A 16,118-nucleotide genomic window follows, 5' to 3' on the forward strand; every position below is an offset into this window, starting at 1 on the left:
GTAATCTTACTTATTTTGAAATTGCCAATTAATAAAATAAAATAATAAAACACATCAGAATTGTTAAAGGATTTCAGAATTTTATGCACTTTCCAATAACACAACTGCATATGTGTAATTCTCCTATTCTCATGCTAATACTCAAATGTAGGACATAACTTTTCCATATCCACATGTGCTATGGAGCCACATGATCTTTGCTATGCTTTGAATATAGAAGAAAACTTGTGAACAGTGGGTTTACCTCTAAAATGCCCAATCTAACTACTTTCCAAAAGTAATACTTGTTTAATGTAACCCACTTGGTCACCTTCAGCATCCACTTTTAATAGCTAGCTCAAATTTTAGTAATGTGCAGGAAAAGGTGTGTATATCTATGCTTTTGAGTATTTCCAGGCATGTGTAGATCCTTTAATTAATTAATTAATTTTTAATAATTTCAACTTTTAGATTTAGGGATTTGTAGATCTTCTGAATCACTTAAGCCTCACGTAGCCCCAGTTTTGGGACTGGATATCCTAACATCATTATATATTTTTATGGACAATATAGAATAGGGAAAAACATAAAATTTCAAAATTTCATATGACTATAAATATTAAAATTTCACTCTATGAAAAGGAAAAAAAAAGCAAGGGTTTATTTGCTAAAATTTAATTATACAATAAAGATAGCAAAATGAATGGATGCTTGTTACCTCCAATTCCCAAATCTTTCTCTATTATTAAGTAATTCATAGACTTTCCTTATGGGAAAAGGTCAGGGAAATAAAATGTTATGTAGACTTAATGAAAATTTCTATATTCATTTTATAGGTAACTTCCTTTAAGTGGAGGCAGAGATTAAAATTAAAATAAGCAGTGCAATCACTCTGACAGCAAGATGACCTTTCATGATTCACTTGCCATTTACAAAATGTACAGCAGAATTACTGAGCACTGAAGATTGTCTCCCAGAAATTCTTCTCAAGGGAAATTAGGACATTTTTATTGCCCCATCAGCATTTATTGCTAAGAGAAACTTCTAATTAAAACCGATAACATTATATCATACAACTGCTAAAGTGTCACTGGATAAGCTTGGGTTACATCTAATATACCATAAATATAGTATGGAAACCCATGAGGAAGAAAAGAGAAGTTTTAAAACTAGCACATCTACTATGCGTTTTGTTGGCCTGTAAGTCTTTGATTGTTATTAATAGCTACAGTCCGTTCTATAGAAAAACATAGCTATACTTAATTTAATTATGTCCATCTCAAGCCAAGTTAATTTTTCAACATATAGTCAGATAAGATCTTTATCAACATTCCTAGTCAATGGTGCTGTCATATACAATGTTTGCTGTCTCTGTCCATATAAAACTGATAGACCAAGACTGCTTTATTTCCTTCTAGAGATTAAAGTTTAATAAAGCAAGTGGCCACCAGATGAATAGTATAGCCCAGGCAGTGTTTTGTGACTGACAGAAACATGGTTAACTGAGTTAAGTGGACTATAACACACTTTTCAACTCATTTATCTCCATAAAAGTAAATTATTCTCTAAAAAAAGAGAAAGCATCCTATTAAAATAATTTATTACATTTCAAAATATGGTACTTGGATCAAGACTTAAGAAGAGAGAAATCACCAGATGAAAATTTTGTATCTCATTCATGAAATCAAAACATATCATGTTTTTTCCTTCAACTTAGATGTAACATTTTGTTCTAAATTGCTCTTTGTGAATTTGTACAGTGATTCAGAAAAGTATTTCCAATGGAAATAGATTTAATCTGGCCCAAAGTTGGAGACTTGGAAAGCGAATGTGTGAGGAAACGCAAAGGTGGGAAAGTTGGGGCCTTGTCAGAGAACAGTGATATGTATGGTGATGGAAGTGGCAGAAATGACAGGACAGATACATTGGGTTAGAAATGTGTGAAGGGACTATCAGACTTGGAAGTTCAAATTAAACTTGATGATGAAAATGGAAGGAGACAAAAGTTTTGTCAACAAAGAGTGACATGAACTCGAGAAAAGAACATTCGCCTGCTCACACTGTGTATTATCACTGGGTGCATGCGGAAAAGAGGTTGAGCATAGAGGCCATTTGTGAGACACGTAAAACACCCCAAAAGTGTCCTTATAACTGTAGGAGAGCCAACTATCACATTGTAAGGGTCAAAAGAACCCAGTTTTTCTCAGAATTTGTTCATCTAAGCAACAAAGACACAGAATGCATTCTCATACGATGCCCTGATACTTTGTTTTATCATAAAATCATCTCTCAAGAGACAGACCTTCAAGATTTCCTCTCTTTTTGCACCTTTTGACAAGTTAATCCAAAAATTGAAAGGTGGCAATAAGGAAGAGGGAGGAAAAAGAGTAACTTGTGTATACACATAAAGATTGTGCATGTATAAAGAAATGCCTAGAAATTAGAGATAGGAATCAGTTGATAGAAAAAAGTAAAATAATTAAAACAGCCATTCTGGTGTTTTGCAATATGCTCTCCTCTTCTGTCTATTCTACATGCAATCCTAGGAATACTAAAGGAGATAAGTTCCTATGATAATAACATAGGCTCCCATAAAAGCTTATGTGTATGTTCTGGGGAGTTGGTTTGATTTTTATTAGGAGAGAAATAGTTGAGTTCACCACAGCCTACATATTAACTGTATATTAATATGTAGTTAAAGAGACTTCCGTACTTAAATATTGCAATGGAAGTTCTGTACACCACTATATGAATTTGAAAGGATGAGACAGATTGAAAATTTCTTCAGTTGGAAAATTCTTCCATTTCTCCAAATTGAAATTCTTCAATTCTGTGAATATTTGTAGAGTGCCAACTATGTGCCACTGTCATACAAGCTGATGATTCAGAAGTAAATAAAGCAGGGAACAATCCCTGCCCTCTTGGAACTTACTAGTGAGAGAACAGATGATAATCAGTAGAAATAAGTTTCTCTATATATGTTTCGTGTGTGTGCATGATGTTAAATTTCAATAAGGGTTATGGAGAATATGAAGTGGAAGAGGGAGATAGAGTGTGGTGAAACATTATACATTTTAAATAGGATCGTTGGAGAAGGCCTTTCTGAAGAGATGAAAAGTAAGTAAAGATGGGAAGATGAGGGAATGAGCATGTGACTGTTTGGGAAAAGTAATTCCAGGCAGAAGTAATTTCATATACAAAAGTTCTGAGGCAGATGGGTGCCAGTGTTTATGTTGTGTGGCAAAAAGGACAGCGTGGCTTAACCAGGGACTTTTCAGTGGAGAATCTGGAAGATAAATTCACAGAGCTGACGGTCAGTAAGGTCAAATGATTTACGCCACTGATGGCCGTGCCAGACTTCGGGTGTCAGACTGAATGAGGTAGCAAATTTACTGGTGGGAGTTGAGTAGAGAAATGAAACAGTCTACTCAAGGGTTAAGATCCTTCTTGTGATTGTGTTGAGAACAGAAATAACGATAGACGATGGAGATACAGATGCAAGTAGTTATGTACTCTAATAGTGGGAGTTCTTTCTGACCACTTCTATTTTTCTCCGTGAAATGGAAAGCAAATTCATCACCTGAGCGAAAATGATGAGACAGTATTACAGGTTTGGAGAGTGAAGTGATCAAGAGTCATCTACGAGAGTCCTAAAATTACAGGATTATGGATACTGCCAGCTACCGCTAAGGCCCACTTGAGGTTAGAGGTCATGAATTTTAGGTGATATGTCAGCTAGTGAGCATTTTACTTCAGTCACTTTTAGCTGTATGGGTGCAGTGTGGTGTGGCTAATAATTTGAATTTAACCAGGACTGGTATTTTGCCAAATTGCTGTATGCCAAATTCAACTATGATGAAAGGAGTTGGTGGTGTGCACAAGACAGTGAAAGACCCAAGGAATTTCTGCTAAATAAAGAAGGGCACAAGGACACAAAGAGGGCAAGACAGCAAAAAGGGAGAAGGGATTGATGGATTTCATGTCTTGAGTCAAGGATTACTGCAGTTGGGCTACTAGCAGGAGAAGATGGAAAGCTAAAATGTGGTAACCTGAGAGTTGGATGAAAAATTCTCATGTAAAGACTATGAAGGCATTGCAGACTTGACACTGTAAGAGCTGCAGAATATGATTTTGGAGTCAGTGACTAAGGTAGGGGGGTGACAAGATCATTAGAGGAGAGAAGGCCAAAAGTAACAGAGCCCAGGTATTAGAAACATCATCTATGTCAATGCTACTTAAAGTGTTTTCCATGGACCTAGCCAATTTGCAAACTGTCTATTACAAGCCCGTGATAGCAAAATACAGAAATTGGGAGAAGTATTTAGAAAATTTTATAGCAATGTAACAGACTAATTTTATGTCTGTGAAATATAATAGTAAAAATTTTGAGCTTATGTTTTTTCTTTTAAAGTTTATTTTATTAAATAATTTTTATTTTTCTTTACACCAGTGTGGGTATGGCATCATTTGCAAAACAGTGAACTATGTGAATGTAGGAGAGAGTGACAATGAGCCAGGAGTTGAAATCTTTATAGGAATGAGAGGGATGTGACTGTTAAGAAGGAGGAATAGCAGGTGGTGTGGTTTGGTGTCATGAGATTAAAAGATGGGAATTTCAGAAAGGAAAAAAAAAACAGAATGAGTAATGACGACACACTCATATCACCCTCAGTATTCTAAAGACTTCAGAGGAAGCAGTGAGCTCAGAGGAGAGTTAGAGCAAGAAAGTGAAGGAAGTGTTGAGCAAGTGTTGAAGAATGGAGAATTACCAAGAGATTACTAGGTTTTAGGCTGTCCAACTTTCCGAAGCCCAGCCAATGGGAGGAATCACAATATTATAGAACTGATACTCATGGAGGTAAATTATATCAACTAAACATGTTATATCAGATACCACAATGATGAGATAAGCTTTATATTTTAGTTAGTTTTCAACTCAAATGTACCTAATGTAAACTAAACAACAACTAAAAGAGGAAGTCAGTGAAAGTGAACCCTACATATTATTATGGGTATTTGTCAACATTTCTCATGTAAAAATACAAAATATATATATTTATATCACATAGGTTTTCATTTCTAAATTTTATATTACTAGAGTTTTTCCATCTTTTCCATTTTAAAAATTAGTCTATAAGTTTAGTATGTTTTCATGTTGGGAACTTTTCTAGTGAAAATCACATGAAAATTCACTTGTGAAAATGCAGACTTAATATTAATCCATTGGAATACACAATACACATAAAATACAGTTAATTACCTGTAATCTGTGCCATTGACAGGTGTCCATGTGTATGTCCTGTTTCCTTTGTCAATATATCTCTAGAAAGAAGTTTAACGTGGTTATTATCACTTTACATTTTGTATGAATATATACGAAAAGTAAAGCCGTAGAATTTACTTATAAATTTTGTAGTCATTTAATACTCATCTTTACAAAGGTATGATCTATTTTATTCTATATTTATTTATTTTCTGGGTGTGTCTAGCAAAATTTTTGACAGAAACAAATGTAAGTGAAAAATCTTTATAGTTTATGCCAAATTATTATCTTCAAAACATTGAAAACAGTATTTCCTGAAAAACAAATTTTAATAATGAAACAGGACTATGAAGTATTTAGACAAGGCTCGGATATGTCCATACTAAAGTATGTTAAGAGTAATAGGCAACATCAGGACATTAATGCAGTGTGTCTAGATCCAAATTTATGATTAGCATATGACTGTTTTTATGAAGCCACTATTATAGCATTATTATGGTATCATAAGAGGCTACTCAGTATCACTGAAGGTTAGGACAACATCTAATAAACCCACCAGGGAAAGAAAATACAGAGCTAAGGAAGTTCATGCATGGCTCTATCTTTTATACATTCTGTCTTCCATTAGGTATTGCGATGGCACATGTATAATTTTTTTTTTTTTTTAGACGGAGTATCGCTCTGTCACCCAGGCTGGAGTGCAGCGGTGTGATCTCGGCTCACTGCAAGCTCCGCCTCCCGGGTTCATGCTATTCTCCTGCTTCAGCCTTCCCAGTAGCTGGGACTACAGGGGCCTGCCACCACGCCTGGCTCATTTTTTTTTTTTTTTGTATTTTTAGTAGAGACGGGGTTTCACTGTGTTAGCCAGGACGGTCTCGATCTCCTGACCTCGTGATCCACCCGCCTCGGCCTCCCAAAGTGCTAGGATTACAGGAGTGAGCCACCGCTCTCAGCCGCTGGCACATGTATAATTTTTAATTTGCTTAGTTATTTTTGAGTTTCATCATTCTCACCAAAACAGTAACATGTATTGAAGTATTTCTTGGTATCAGGCACTATGCTAAGCACCTGTCATTCTGTCACTTAGTCCAACCACTGGAGTATATACTTTTATATCCTGCAATTTATTGATGAAGAAATAAGTGTTAAAGAAGAGGTAAGGTGCTTAAGTTGGCAAAATATATAATGCCAAATTCATGTTTGTGACAACTACACAATGAATGTGTGCGTGTTTGTGTGTGAGCATGTGTGGGGTGTATGTGTGGCAGATGGAGGGGGGAACAGGGTTGTGAAGAGGGCTTTGGACTAGCAATATTCTTAAAAGAATTAGAAGAAACAATGCTTATATATTTGTTACTACTCATAAAAAAACAGGGCAAGCAAGTGTTGGTCTGCAAGTTATAAATAAAATACAGTATCAGAAAACAGTATCAGAGCAGAGAAATAAAAATGTAAGTTTTTTCAATATCAGTAGCAGAAATTATAATCTTGTTCAGTCTTCAATTTGTAATAAAATAATCAAACGGACAATTTTAAACATTATTACTAATTTTTTAGTCAAGAAATCTATTTTTCAACTGCTTTTGAAGTTTGAAAGTATTCTCAGATTAGCTTCTTAAAAAAGTCATTATTCAGTAAGTTTATCCTTACTAAATTCTACCATCTTTCAGTAAATTTTCTGCATGAAATAGTACAAATGAATTCTAGTTTTAGCCCAAGCATATAGTTATAAACAAAGGACTGTTGATGGAGTATGCATAATAAATACAAACTATTTTCAGATTCCAACAAACCAGATTCACTTGGGCATAAATTAAGTTGAAAAGTTCTAATTCTATTTTAAACTTATTTCAGTAGTAATACTAAAATCCATAAAAATGCAGTATCATAAGGGTTAGCATATGTGCATTAAAAATTTGATTCATATAATTTCTCATTTATTCTATACACTTACAATTTTTATAGAATAGTAAGACTCATGAAAGACATGACCATGAAAAAAATGTTTACAAATTAATTTCAGACAGATTGTAGTGAAAAATATTCAATAAATCAGGTGTAAATAGAGGTTCTGTGGGAAACATTTCCTAGGTGAGGAATTTCAAATTACTTGCAACTCATTATGCCAAACATTGTGAAATGTGCCAAACTGGAGATTCCTAGCTCATCAATATGGAACATGGTACAAGAAAGGTTCTATAATTCCTACAACAACCACAAAAATGAACTTCAAAGTTAATAGCTAACCTAAGCCTGTGGAATTCAGCTACTTTGGCTAAACCAAATAACACTATAATGTGAAGGTTACTATCACATCTTAAATATCTCTGCCAAACCCCTTACATAGACCATATAGATAGAGCTTTTGAAAGATATCACCTTAAAATTAGAATAATACGTATGCACAGTGTTGTAATTGTCTATAAAATAGTGAATAGTGATAAAAATTATAGTCATTCATAGAATAAATAACTTTTCTTGAAATACCAATATACATAGAAATCTGGAGTACAAGGCAATGTAGTAATTGAAAATTAGCAGTTATATCTATTTACAATAGTGTGTTCATCAGAGACATTTTAAAATTCTAAGACAGGAAAATATAGTCTTTAGGTGAATATTTGTCAAAAAAAGTAATTTGCAATAAATTGAAGGAAGAAAAATATCAATGGGAGTTAATAGAATATTACTTTGTAATCTGAGAAAAGAATGTGCAAAAGTCTAAGCAAATAGAGTTGAAGTTTCAACAAAGACTGAAAGGTAAATATACCTCCCTTTGCGTTCTGTAATAGGGACTCATTATGATATTAAAATGAGAAAGGCCATGTGCTAATGAAGGATCATAGTCAGATCCTAGCTCACCTTCCACCTAGGGAAGGATCTGATGAGGAATTTCAGAGGAATGTAATTCATCTAGAAATGATGAGATTGTGAGGAAAAGGATATAGGTTATACATAAAAGCTTAAGTTAAAATTTCCAGGCTCAAAAGCTTCTGAGACTTACATTTTTCAAATACTCAAATGTATAAATGTCTGTATGTACTCCACATCTGACTAATAGACATAATCCTCTGACTGATAATAGATATACTCCAATATGATAATAGACATAAACCAATTATTTGTGGGGGTAGTTGTGTTGTCACAGGATTTAATTTCAGATCTAAGTGCTGGGAAATTTTAAAGTGTGTAACTAGTAAAAGAAGATAAATCAAGCCAGAAACAAGTAAACAAAAAGCTAAAAATAAAAATAATTAATATGTGGAACTCAATAATTAGAATAAAAAGGCAAATCATGTAAAACATATAGCTATTAAATATTAACTTCAATTTTGTAACATTGGCATAGTGTAAAACAACATGGCAACATTATATTGTGTATTCTATTTCTCATAAAATATGTATGTAAAATATAATTTCAAGAATATACTGTTAATGTATAAGAAAACATCAAGAAACCTAAAGCAATAGTATTTTATAAAAAGAAAAAGAGGGTTAAAAATATATCTTAGTGAAAATATCCCTCCAGCTAAGAAGTGCTTTAAAAAGAAAAATTGTTTCCTAGAGATCTCCCTGTTTTATAAGTAAATAGTGGATTAATAGAAAAAAAGGACAAGTTACCAATATCAATTATTCTTGATATAATTTTTATTTAAGAATAAGCTAGAATCAATTCTTACCTCATCTTGAGATTTAACCAGAGTTCTGAATGTTTTTTCTCCACTTTCCCCATCAATCATCTTATTTCGAATCTAAGAGTAAATGAAACAACTACTTTATTCCAGAAACAAAGCTGACCTGCCAAAATATGACTATTAACATGGTAGTTTTTCAAGTTCTTTACCTTATTTAGAACAAATAAAATAAAAATAGGGGGTTAGTTTTACCAGTATCTGCAGTTGTTCTCAGGGAATTTTTTTAAGTTACCATATTATAGTCATTTTACATTATTTTAAAATAATAAAACACCCTTAATGAAATATTTTCAACCTGTTGGTAGTTTTTGAAACGTAATTAATAAAATGTTCAATTATATTATGGCTAGCCACATTGGAGTGGAAAGTAGTCATTGAGACATAGAAATGTATATGTACAGAATTACATATAACACGGAATGCTTCAAATTTCTGCCTTACACAATGAGTTTCATGTGAGAAAAATATTTTTAAGAGGACTCTTTACACTTTTTAGTTTGTAATTCTTATATCTGGGTACCAAAAAAATCTAAATAAAGGACAGAGAAAACTATAAACACCTATTTGGATTTAGAATAATAGAGTTGAGTCTCCTTCAGTAGAATACTCCAAATCCTTAAAAATATGCAAGGTCGGCCAGGTGCAGTGGCTCATGCCTGTAATTCCAGCACTTTGGGAGGCCGAGGCGGACAAATTGCCTGAGGTTGAGAGTTCGAGATCAGCCCAGCCAGAATGATGAAACCCCATTTCTACTACAAATGCAAAAATTAGCCAGGCATGGTGGCAGGCGCCTGTAATCCCAGCTACTTGGGAAGCTGAGGCAGGAGAATGGCATGAACCCAGGAGGTGGAGGTTGCAGTGAGCTGAGATTGCGCCACTGCACTCCAGCCTGGGCGACAGAGCGAGACTCCACCTCAAAAAAAAAAAAAAAAAAAAGTGCAAGGTTACATTATCCACTAAATATTCCAGTCGACTGGCAATTCTCAGAAGTTTCCTCAACTTATTTTTTATAACTCAACCAGTGATTTACATGTGGCTTCGGGAAGCTGCAAATGATAAGTAAACAAACTTGGTGTGATTAAAGGAATAATTTGAATTTGAAGAACACGAATGTTTGATGTATCTAATTTAGTTCAAATATTTGGGTCTTAAAGGAAGGAGTAGATAACAGCTTCTAATGTAAGTTGAGTGTGCACTTATGAGGAGCTCAAAAATAATAAAGACTTTACCATGAACCAGGCCTTTTGCTAAGTCCTTTCTATATATTATTTCATTCAATCACTATTACTGATTGATTTAGAAGAAACTGAGGCTTGCAGAATCTAAGATCATTTTGGTCACTCACTGGAGTAAGAGTCCAGACACCAAGCTTGTCCCCATTACTTTATCCTACTTTATTATGTCAATTACTTTACAACAAATACTATTAATCACCTAAACACCCTAACACAAGGCCACCGTCTAGGGTAATTATAATAAATCATTAAATTCTATTGTTCTACAATTGAAATGCAGTGACAAGTTATAAAAGAAACATGATGGCATTTGCAAGGGAGTTAATCCATCTGGAAAAATCCTAAAAATCTGTAATCTAGAATGCAAGAGCCAAGTTCTGCTACTTATTAGCTGAAGAACTGTAGAGAAACTATTTGACCTCTCTGTACCTCAAATGTATCATCAGTACAACAGATATTATAATTTGAAATAAAAATACCTATTTCCAAGCCTCTTGAGAATCCATGACTAACATATATCATATAATGTTATTTATTATATATTTCTAATATTTTTATTATTAATATAATACTCTCATTATTATGGAAGACTCTCTCAGAGGAGGAAATATGCAATTTTGCTTTTGAAATAAAATAGATTGCCAAGTAAAATGTATTAAGGCAAACATGACAGCTTCTACTCATGCTATTTCTTATGTGTTTGGGTGGTTGGATTCCTTCCAACTTTTTTTTCAACACTATAACAACATCCTCCATCTCTATGATTTTTACTGAAGTTTACAAGATACATTTGTATTAGAATAGTGAAAATATGTCTACCTTTAGGAAGAGAAAGAAGACTAAGGTCGAACCCAACTTAAACATTTATTCCTTTTCATATGATCTTTTGGATAGGAAAACCTAGGATCTAGAAAATTTTAATGACAAAGAACATTCATCTTTGTGTATACAGTATCAAACAGACAAGCTAACACATTGTAGCCGTTCAACAGATACTTGTAGAATGAGTGCATACCAGCATCTGACCTGAGGAATTGTTTAGTCTTACTGATTCCACTCACCTCCACTTTAATATCATTCTCTAACTCTGCATCAAGGAAATCCAATGTTACTGGCTCCTGAGATTTGGGGTTCTACACAGAAAACAATAATAATTAGGTACATGTAACATTATACAATGATGCTGTGTATAAAACAATTTAACGGGTATTTATGAAATTGTGCAAAAATTACCTAGGATACAATAATTGTATAAAGGTATCTTCTTTCATATATATTTTATATATATATATAGCTTATATATAAAAGCTAGAGATTGAGCTTTAAGTGCAGGAAATCTTAATAAGCAAGTGAAGACAGTGTCATTTTGAGTGCTGTATTTGATACTGCATTTATATTCACAAGCTCTTTGGGCACATCACTTTTGAAGAACCATTCACAACTTTCTTTTCATTAATTAGCATGGGAAAGGGGCAAAATATAGCCATTTGGATGACTTATTTGGTAATAAAACAATGGCAACATGTAAGCATACTTTTAAAATTTGTAAAAAAAAAAAAAAGTGTATGAGAAAATGTTTTAAAATTATGTCTACACTTGCCAAGTAAAACATTCTATTGGACCTGTTCTTCCTTCTGAAAGTATATAAAGAAAAGGTGCAAGTTTGCTTCATATATTTCAATCTAAGAAATTTTATATTTTAATAATTCAAATGACATCAGAATGTATAAGATAAATTTTGTGGTTGTCATAAAGATTTTAAGATTAGCTATTATAATTAAAGTCTTACTAGGATAATAACCCCTGGGTTCAATGAATACTATTTCCTATTGCTTCTTCTTGCTGGTGTATAATAATAAAGAAAGAACACTGGGGAATAAGATAGATTCTTATTTATTCATATCATTATATAAAATGATACTGTTAGTCTGGCAAATTTACCTCATATGATATTATTTTAATGTCTCAATTGCAAAATGAAGATTCATTGAACTATTTGATAAACAAAATACAGTCAATTCCTCTATAACTTCCTAAGTAATGTAACATGTCATACTAAAATTTCAAAGCTTACTAGACCAATAAAATCATAATAGGTATATGTAATTTCATAATTGCAAAATTTTAGAAACTGAATTTTTAATTTTTATTAAAATATTACCTAAATCTGATAACTAGATTCCAGTAACAAACGCAAACTATGCTGGATTAGTGCAAAGGTCACTCAAACTTTAATAATATAAGCCTCACAGACTCTTTCAAAAGATGTTCAAATTATCACCATTTTAAGCACTGTTTTAGGAAGAAACTTCCCAAGGCAGTTGCAATAAGTAAAAATGTACTAAAATTAAGCATATCTTATCAAGATGTTGAATGACATAGTATACACGGCATGTATTTACTGACAAAAATGCCTTCCTTCAAAGAGTAATTCCACCTAAAGATGAAAATTTTTGATTCCTATGGTTTTTGATAAATGAACATTCTTAAAGGCAAATTTTAAAAAATAGCCATGTCTGGCACTTTAATTGAAAAAAATATTCACTGCTTAAGTACTCTATCACTACAATCAGAAGATTCTAGAATACTGAAAATAAGTATTAAATTTTTCAAAGGTGAAAATGCTGACCAGTATTGGTAAGATACTGATGACATCTTACTGCGTGAAAAGGAAATACTCATTTGAAATGCAGCGTATTTTAAAAGAATAAAATAAAAGCCAATGTTGAAAATTCTTCTAATTTCTTTGTTTAAAAAATGAAACCTAGAAAACCCCTAACAAAAGGATACTCTAAAGTTTACAACATTATTCAGAATTGCTCATTTAATGTCCCATGAAATAAACTGTCCTCACACAAACACCATCATATCAGCATTAAAATTTTAACAAACTCACTGCAAAGCAAAGTCAAAATAATGAAAATAATAAAAAGTAAACAGAAATAAGAGTATTTATCTTACATGCAATGGATAATGCATAGCATGACCAGACCCAAACAGCATGCATGGAGGAGGCATTATCAGGAAGAATTGGCAATATGAAGATCATGTCCCAATCCAGCATACAAAGACACAGAGAAGAAAATGAAATCATAAAAGAAAAATCTCAATGCATAAGTTGTACTTTTAATATAGCAATCTAGCTGACCATTTTTTAAAAGATTCACCACGGGCATGGTGACTACAAAATTCAAAAGCATAATCTTTCAATAAGAAAGCACCAAGAGAGGCTGAAGAACTGGAATATAGTCTCTGCACACCCATTGTTTTTGTCTGATATTAAAATACCTAGTATTTCTCATTTGCAAAATTTGGTTATCAATGGAAATAAATACCACACCATTTGTGGAAACGAAAGAATGAAATGTTAACAAATTTTAAATTGAAATAATTACTAGATAGTATTACAAATGCTACTTAGTTCAAAAATAGCCTTCAAATTGAGGAGTCTTGTGTGGTTGCTAGTTTGCCATTTAGAGTTTTCTTAGAATGAAAACAAAAATAAAACAGACCATTTTCAGGTTGTTTATTTTTTAATTATATTGTTAAGAGTTACATGCAATATTTGAGGCTGCTGCAAAAACAAAAATTCACTAAAATGCACATGACTGCAAAAGTATAAGATAATACATAAAAAGAAACATGCAAGGACAGTAACAAAACAATTTACTATATCAAGAAAGGCATAAACATAATTTTAAACTTTATAGGAATTATAAAAGATATGAAGACTTTCATATGCAACAATAGGAAATTCAGTTTGTTCTAAAATTCTAGCACTGGAAGAGAGCTAAAGTTTCTCAACTAGGGCAGTGGCTCTGCACTTTAGACCTCCATGGGGAGCTTTAAAAACTATTTAGAGGCCGGGCACAGTGGCTCACACCTGTAATCCCAGCACTTTGGGAGGCCAAGGCAGGTGGATCACGAGGTCAGGAGATCAAGACCATGCTGGCCAACATAATGAAACCCCGTCTCTACTAAAAATACAAAAATTAGATGGGCATGGTGGCCAGCACCTGTAATCCCAGCTACTCGGGAGGCTGAGGCAGGAGAATCATATGAACCCAGGAGGGAGAGGTTGCAGTAAGCCGAGATTGCGCCACTGCACTCCAGCCTAGTGACAGAGTGAGACCCATCTCAGAAAAAAAATAAATAAATAAACAAAACAAAACAAAAACTATGTAGAGGCCTGGTCCCATCACTGCCAAATTAAATCAGAATTTTCAGAGGATGAGGCAGGGGACTGACATATATATATTTAATTTCCTAGGTGAATATACTGTGTAGGATGGAAACTAGTGACTAGTTCAATTCTCCTGCTTTTCAGATGAAGAAAATTAAACACTACAGGATTTAGTGGAGTGCTCAAGAACACAGTGTTGGCTTTCAGAACCAAACTAGCACTCAATTCTACTAATTCACAGCTTATCCATCTCTTAATAACATATTACCTCTTCATTTTAATGTCACCAACTTATTTATTTACTCATTTTGTTTTTGAGACGGGGTCTCGCTCTGTCACCCAGCCTGGAGGCAGTGGCACACTCTTGGCTCACTGCAACCTCTGCCTACTGGGTCCAAGCGATTCTGCCTCAGCTTCTTGAGTGGCTGGGACTACAGGCATGTACTACCATGCCTAACTAATTTTTCTTTCTTTTTTTTTTTTTTTTTTTTTTTTTTTTTTTTTTTTTTTTGTAGAGGCAGGGTTTCACTATGTTGGCCTGGCTGGTCTCAAACTCCTGACCTTGTGATCGGCCCTCCTCAGCCTCCCAAAGTGTTGGGATTATAGGCATGAGCCACCGTGGCCGGCCTTAATGTCACCAACTTTTTCAAAGAAATGGTAGGCTTACCTACACAATCTTAAATAATGTTGAACATGCTTTGAAATTCTGAAATTCTCTTGCTAAGCTATAGGAAGTATCCTTTTATGTTGATTATTAATAGTTTTACTGTGCATTTAGAAATATTGTATACATGTGATAACTGAAGTTTTGTTGCCAAAAGGAAAAGCTTTCGCAATGAGTTTACCAGGTAATAAAAATTCACTACTTATTTGCACTTTGGTACATTTTTAATTAGCTAAGGGAAACTTCTTTAACTTCTAACCCAAAATTACACTTTTTAGAAATTTTGGCTTAAAATCTGTGGCTTATGGAAACTGTCATATAGGAATTGTATTTTATTTCCACGTAGAAGTCAATTTACAAGCAAATTGTTAGGATCACATGAATTTGACATTAATTTTACAATTTTAATAACAAATTTATTTTTAGAAGCCATCTCGTTATGATTTCTCTGATTATTAACTTGATTCCATAATTGACTTTGCAATCTTTGGTTAGCCAATACACACCCTCTACCATCATTAATAACATTTTTGCTCCAGCTTATTAAGAAATGATGCTCATCTCATTTCATGCTCTGGAAGCTTGATGTCAGGAAAGGCAGCTTTAATTATAAGCTTTAAGAACAGAAGCTTAATCCCAACTTGGATTTAGCAAATTTGAAAGCACTGTTAAGGCTACCTTCATTCACAGTTACCTGGATATTGGGTCTCCTTTTTCTTAAATTAATTGTTGGTATACCTACACCAATAGGCTGAAGCAACAGAAAAATGGTAATTCATCATAGTACATGTCAACATAGGTACGGGTTCTATCCTATAATCAATTTTCGTCAGATATTTCCTTGATTGCAAAAAGGTCTAAATGATAGAATTCAAAATATTTGGTAGGTATGGAGTTCATGAGTCAATAAAATAAGAATGTAAAAATATCTTCAATGAATACAAACTGTTACATTTTTAAGAAAAATGACTATTATTTTTCTTTTTCTAGAAAAGTACGTATTTGGGAAGTGGGAAAAATGGTTGTTTGTCCCAGATTACTTTTCCATTGATTTGACAAAAAAAAAAAAAAAAAAAAAAGAGAGAGAGAGAGAGAGAAA

General features: G+C 33.3%; 1 protein-coding gene across 16 annotated transcripts in view; it reads right to left on the reverse strand.

Moving 5' to 3' along the window:
• The window catches only part of CACNA2D1 (calcium voltage-gated channel auxiliary subunit alpha2delta 1), a 497,513-nt gene that overhangs the window by 39,502 nt on the left and 441,893 nt on the right, over positions 1-16,118 (reverse strand). For 6 of the 16 annotated variants that reach the window (XR_001744873.3, NM_001366867.1, XM_006716118.4 and 3 more), the window contains exons 19-22: positions 15,714-15,770; positions 11,234-11,305; positions 8,923-8,994; positions 5,240-5,301 (exon numbers count right to left, since the gene is read on the reverse strand). Coding sequence is in view for 15 of the 16 variants with exons in the window: in NM_001366867.1 (NP_001353796.1) it covers positions 5,240-5,301; positions 8,923-8,994; positions 11,234-11,305; positions 15,714-15,770 (263 nt within the window). In the remaining variant the exon portion in view is untranslated. Of the gene's footprint in view, positions 1-5,239; positions 5,302-8,922; positions 8,995-11,233; positions 11,306-13,133; positions 14,086-15,713; positions 15,771-16,118 lie in introns of those variants that run through there. The other 10 variants (XM_005250574.4, XM_005250572.4, XM_047420822.1 and 7 more) reach the window with 4 other exon arrangements.

The sequence above is a fragment of the Homo sapiens genome, chromosome 7 (genome assembly GCF_000001405.40).
Source record: "Homo sapiens chromosome 7, GRCh38.p14 Primary Assembly".
Classification (NCBI taxonomy): domain Eukaryota; kingdom Metazoa; phylum Chordata; class Mammalia; order Primates; family Hominidae; genus Homo; species Homo sapiens.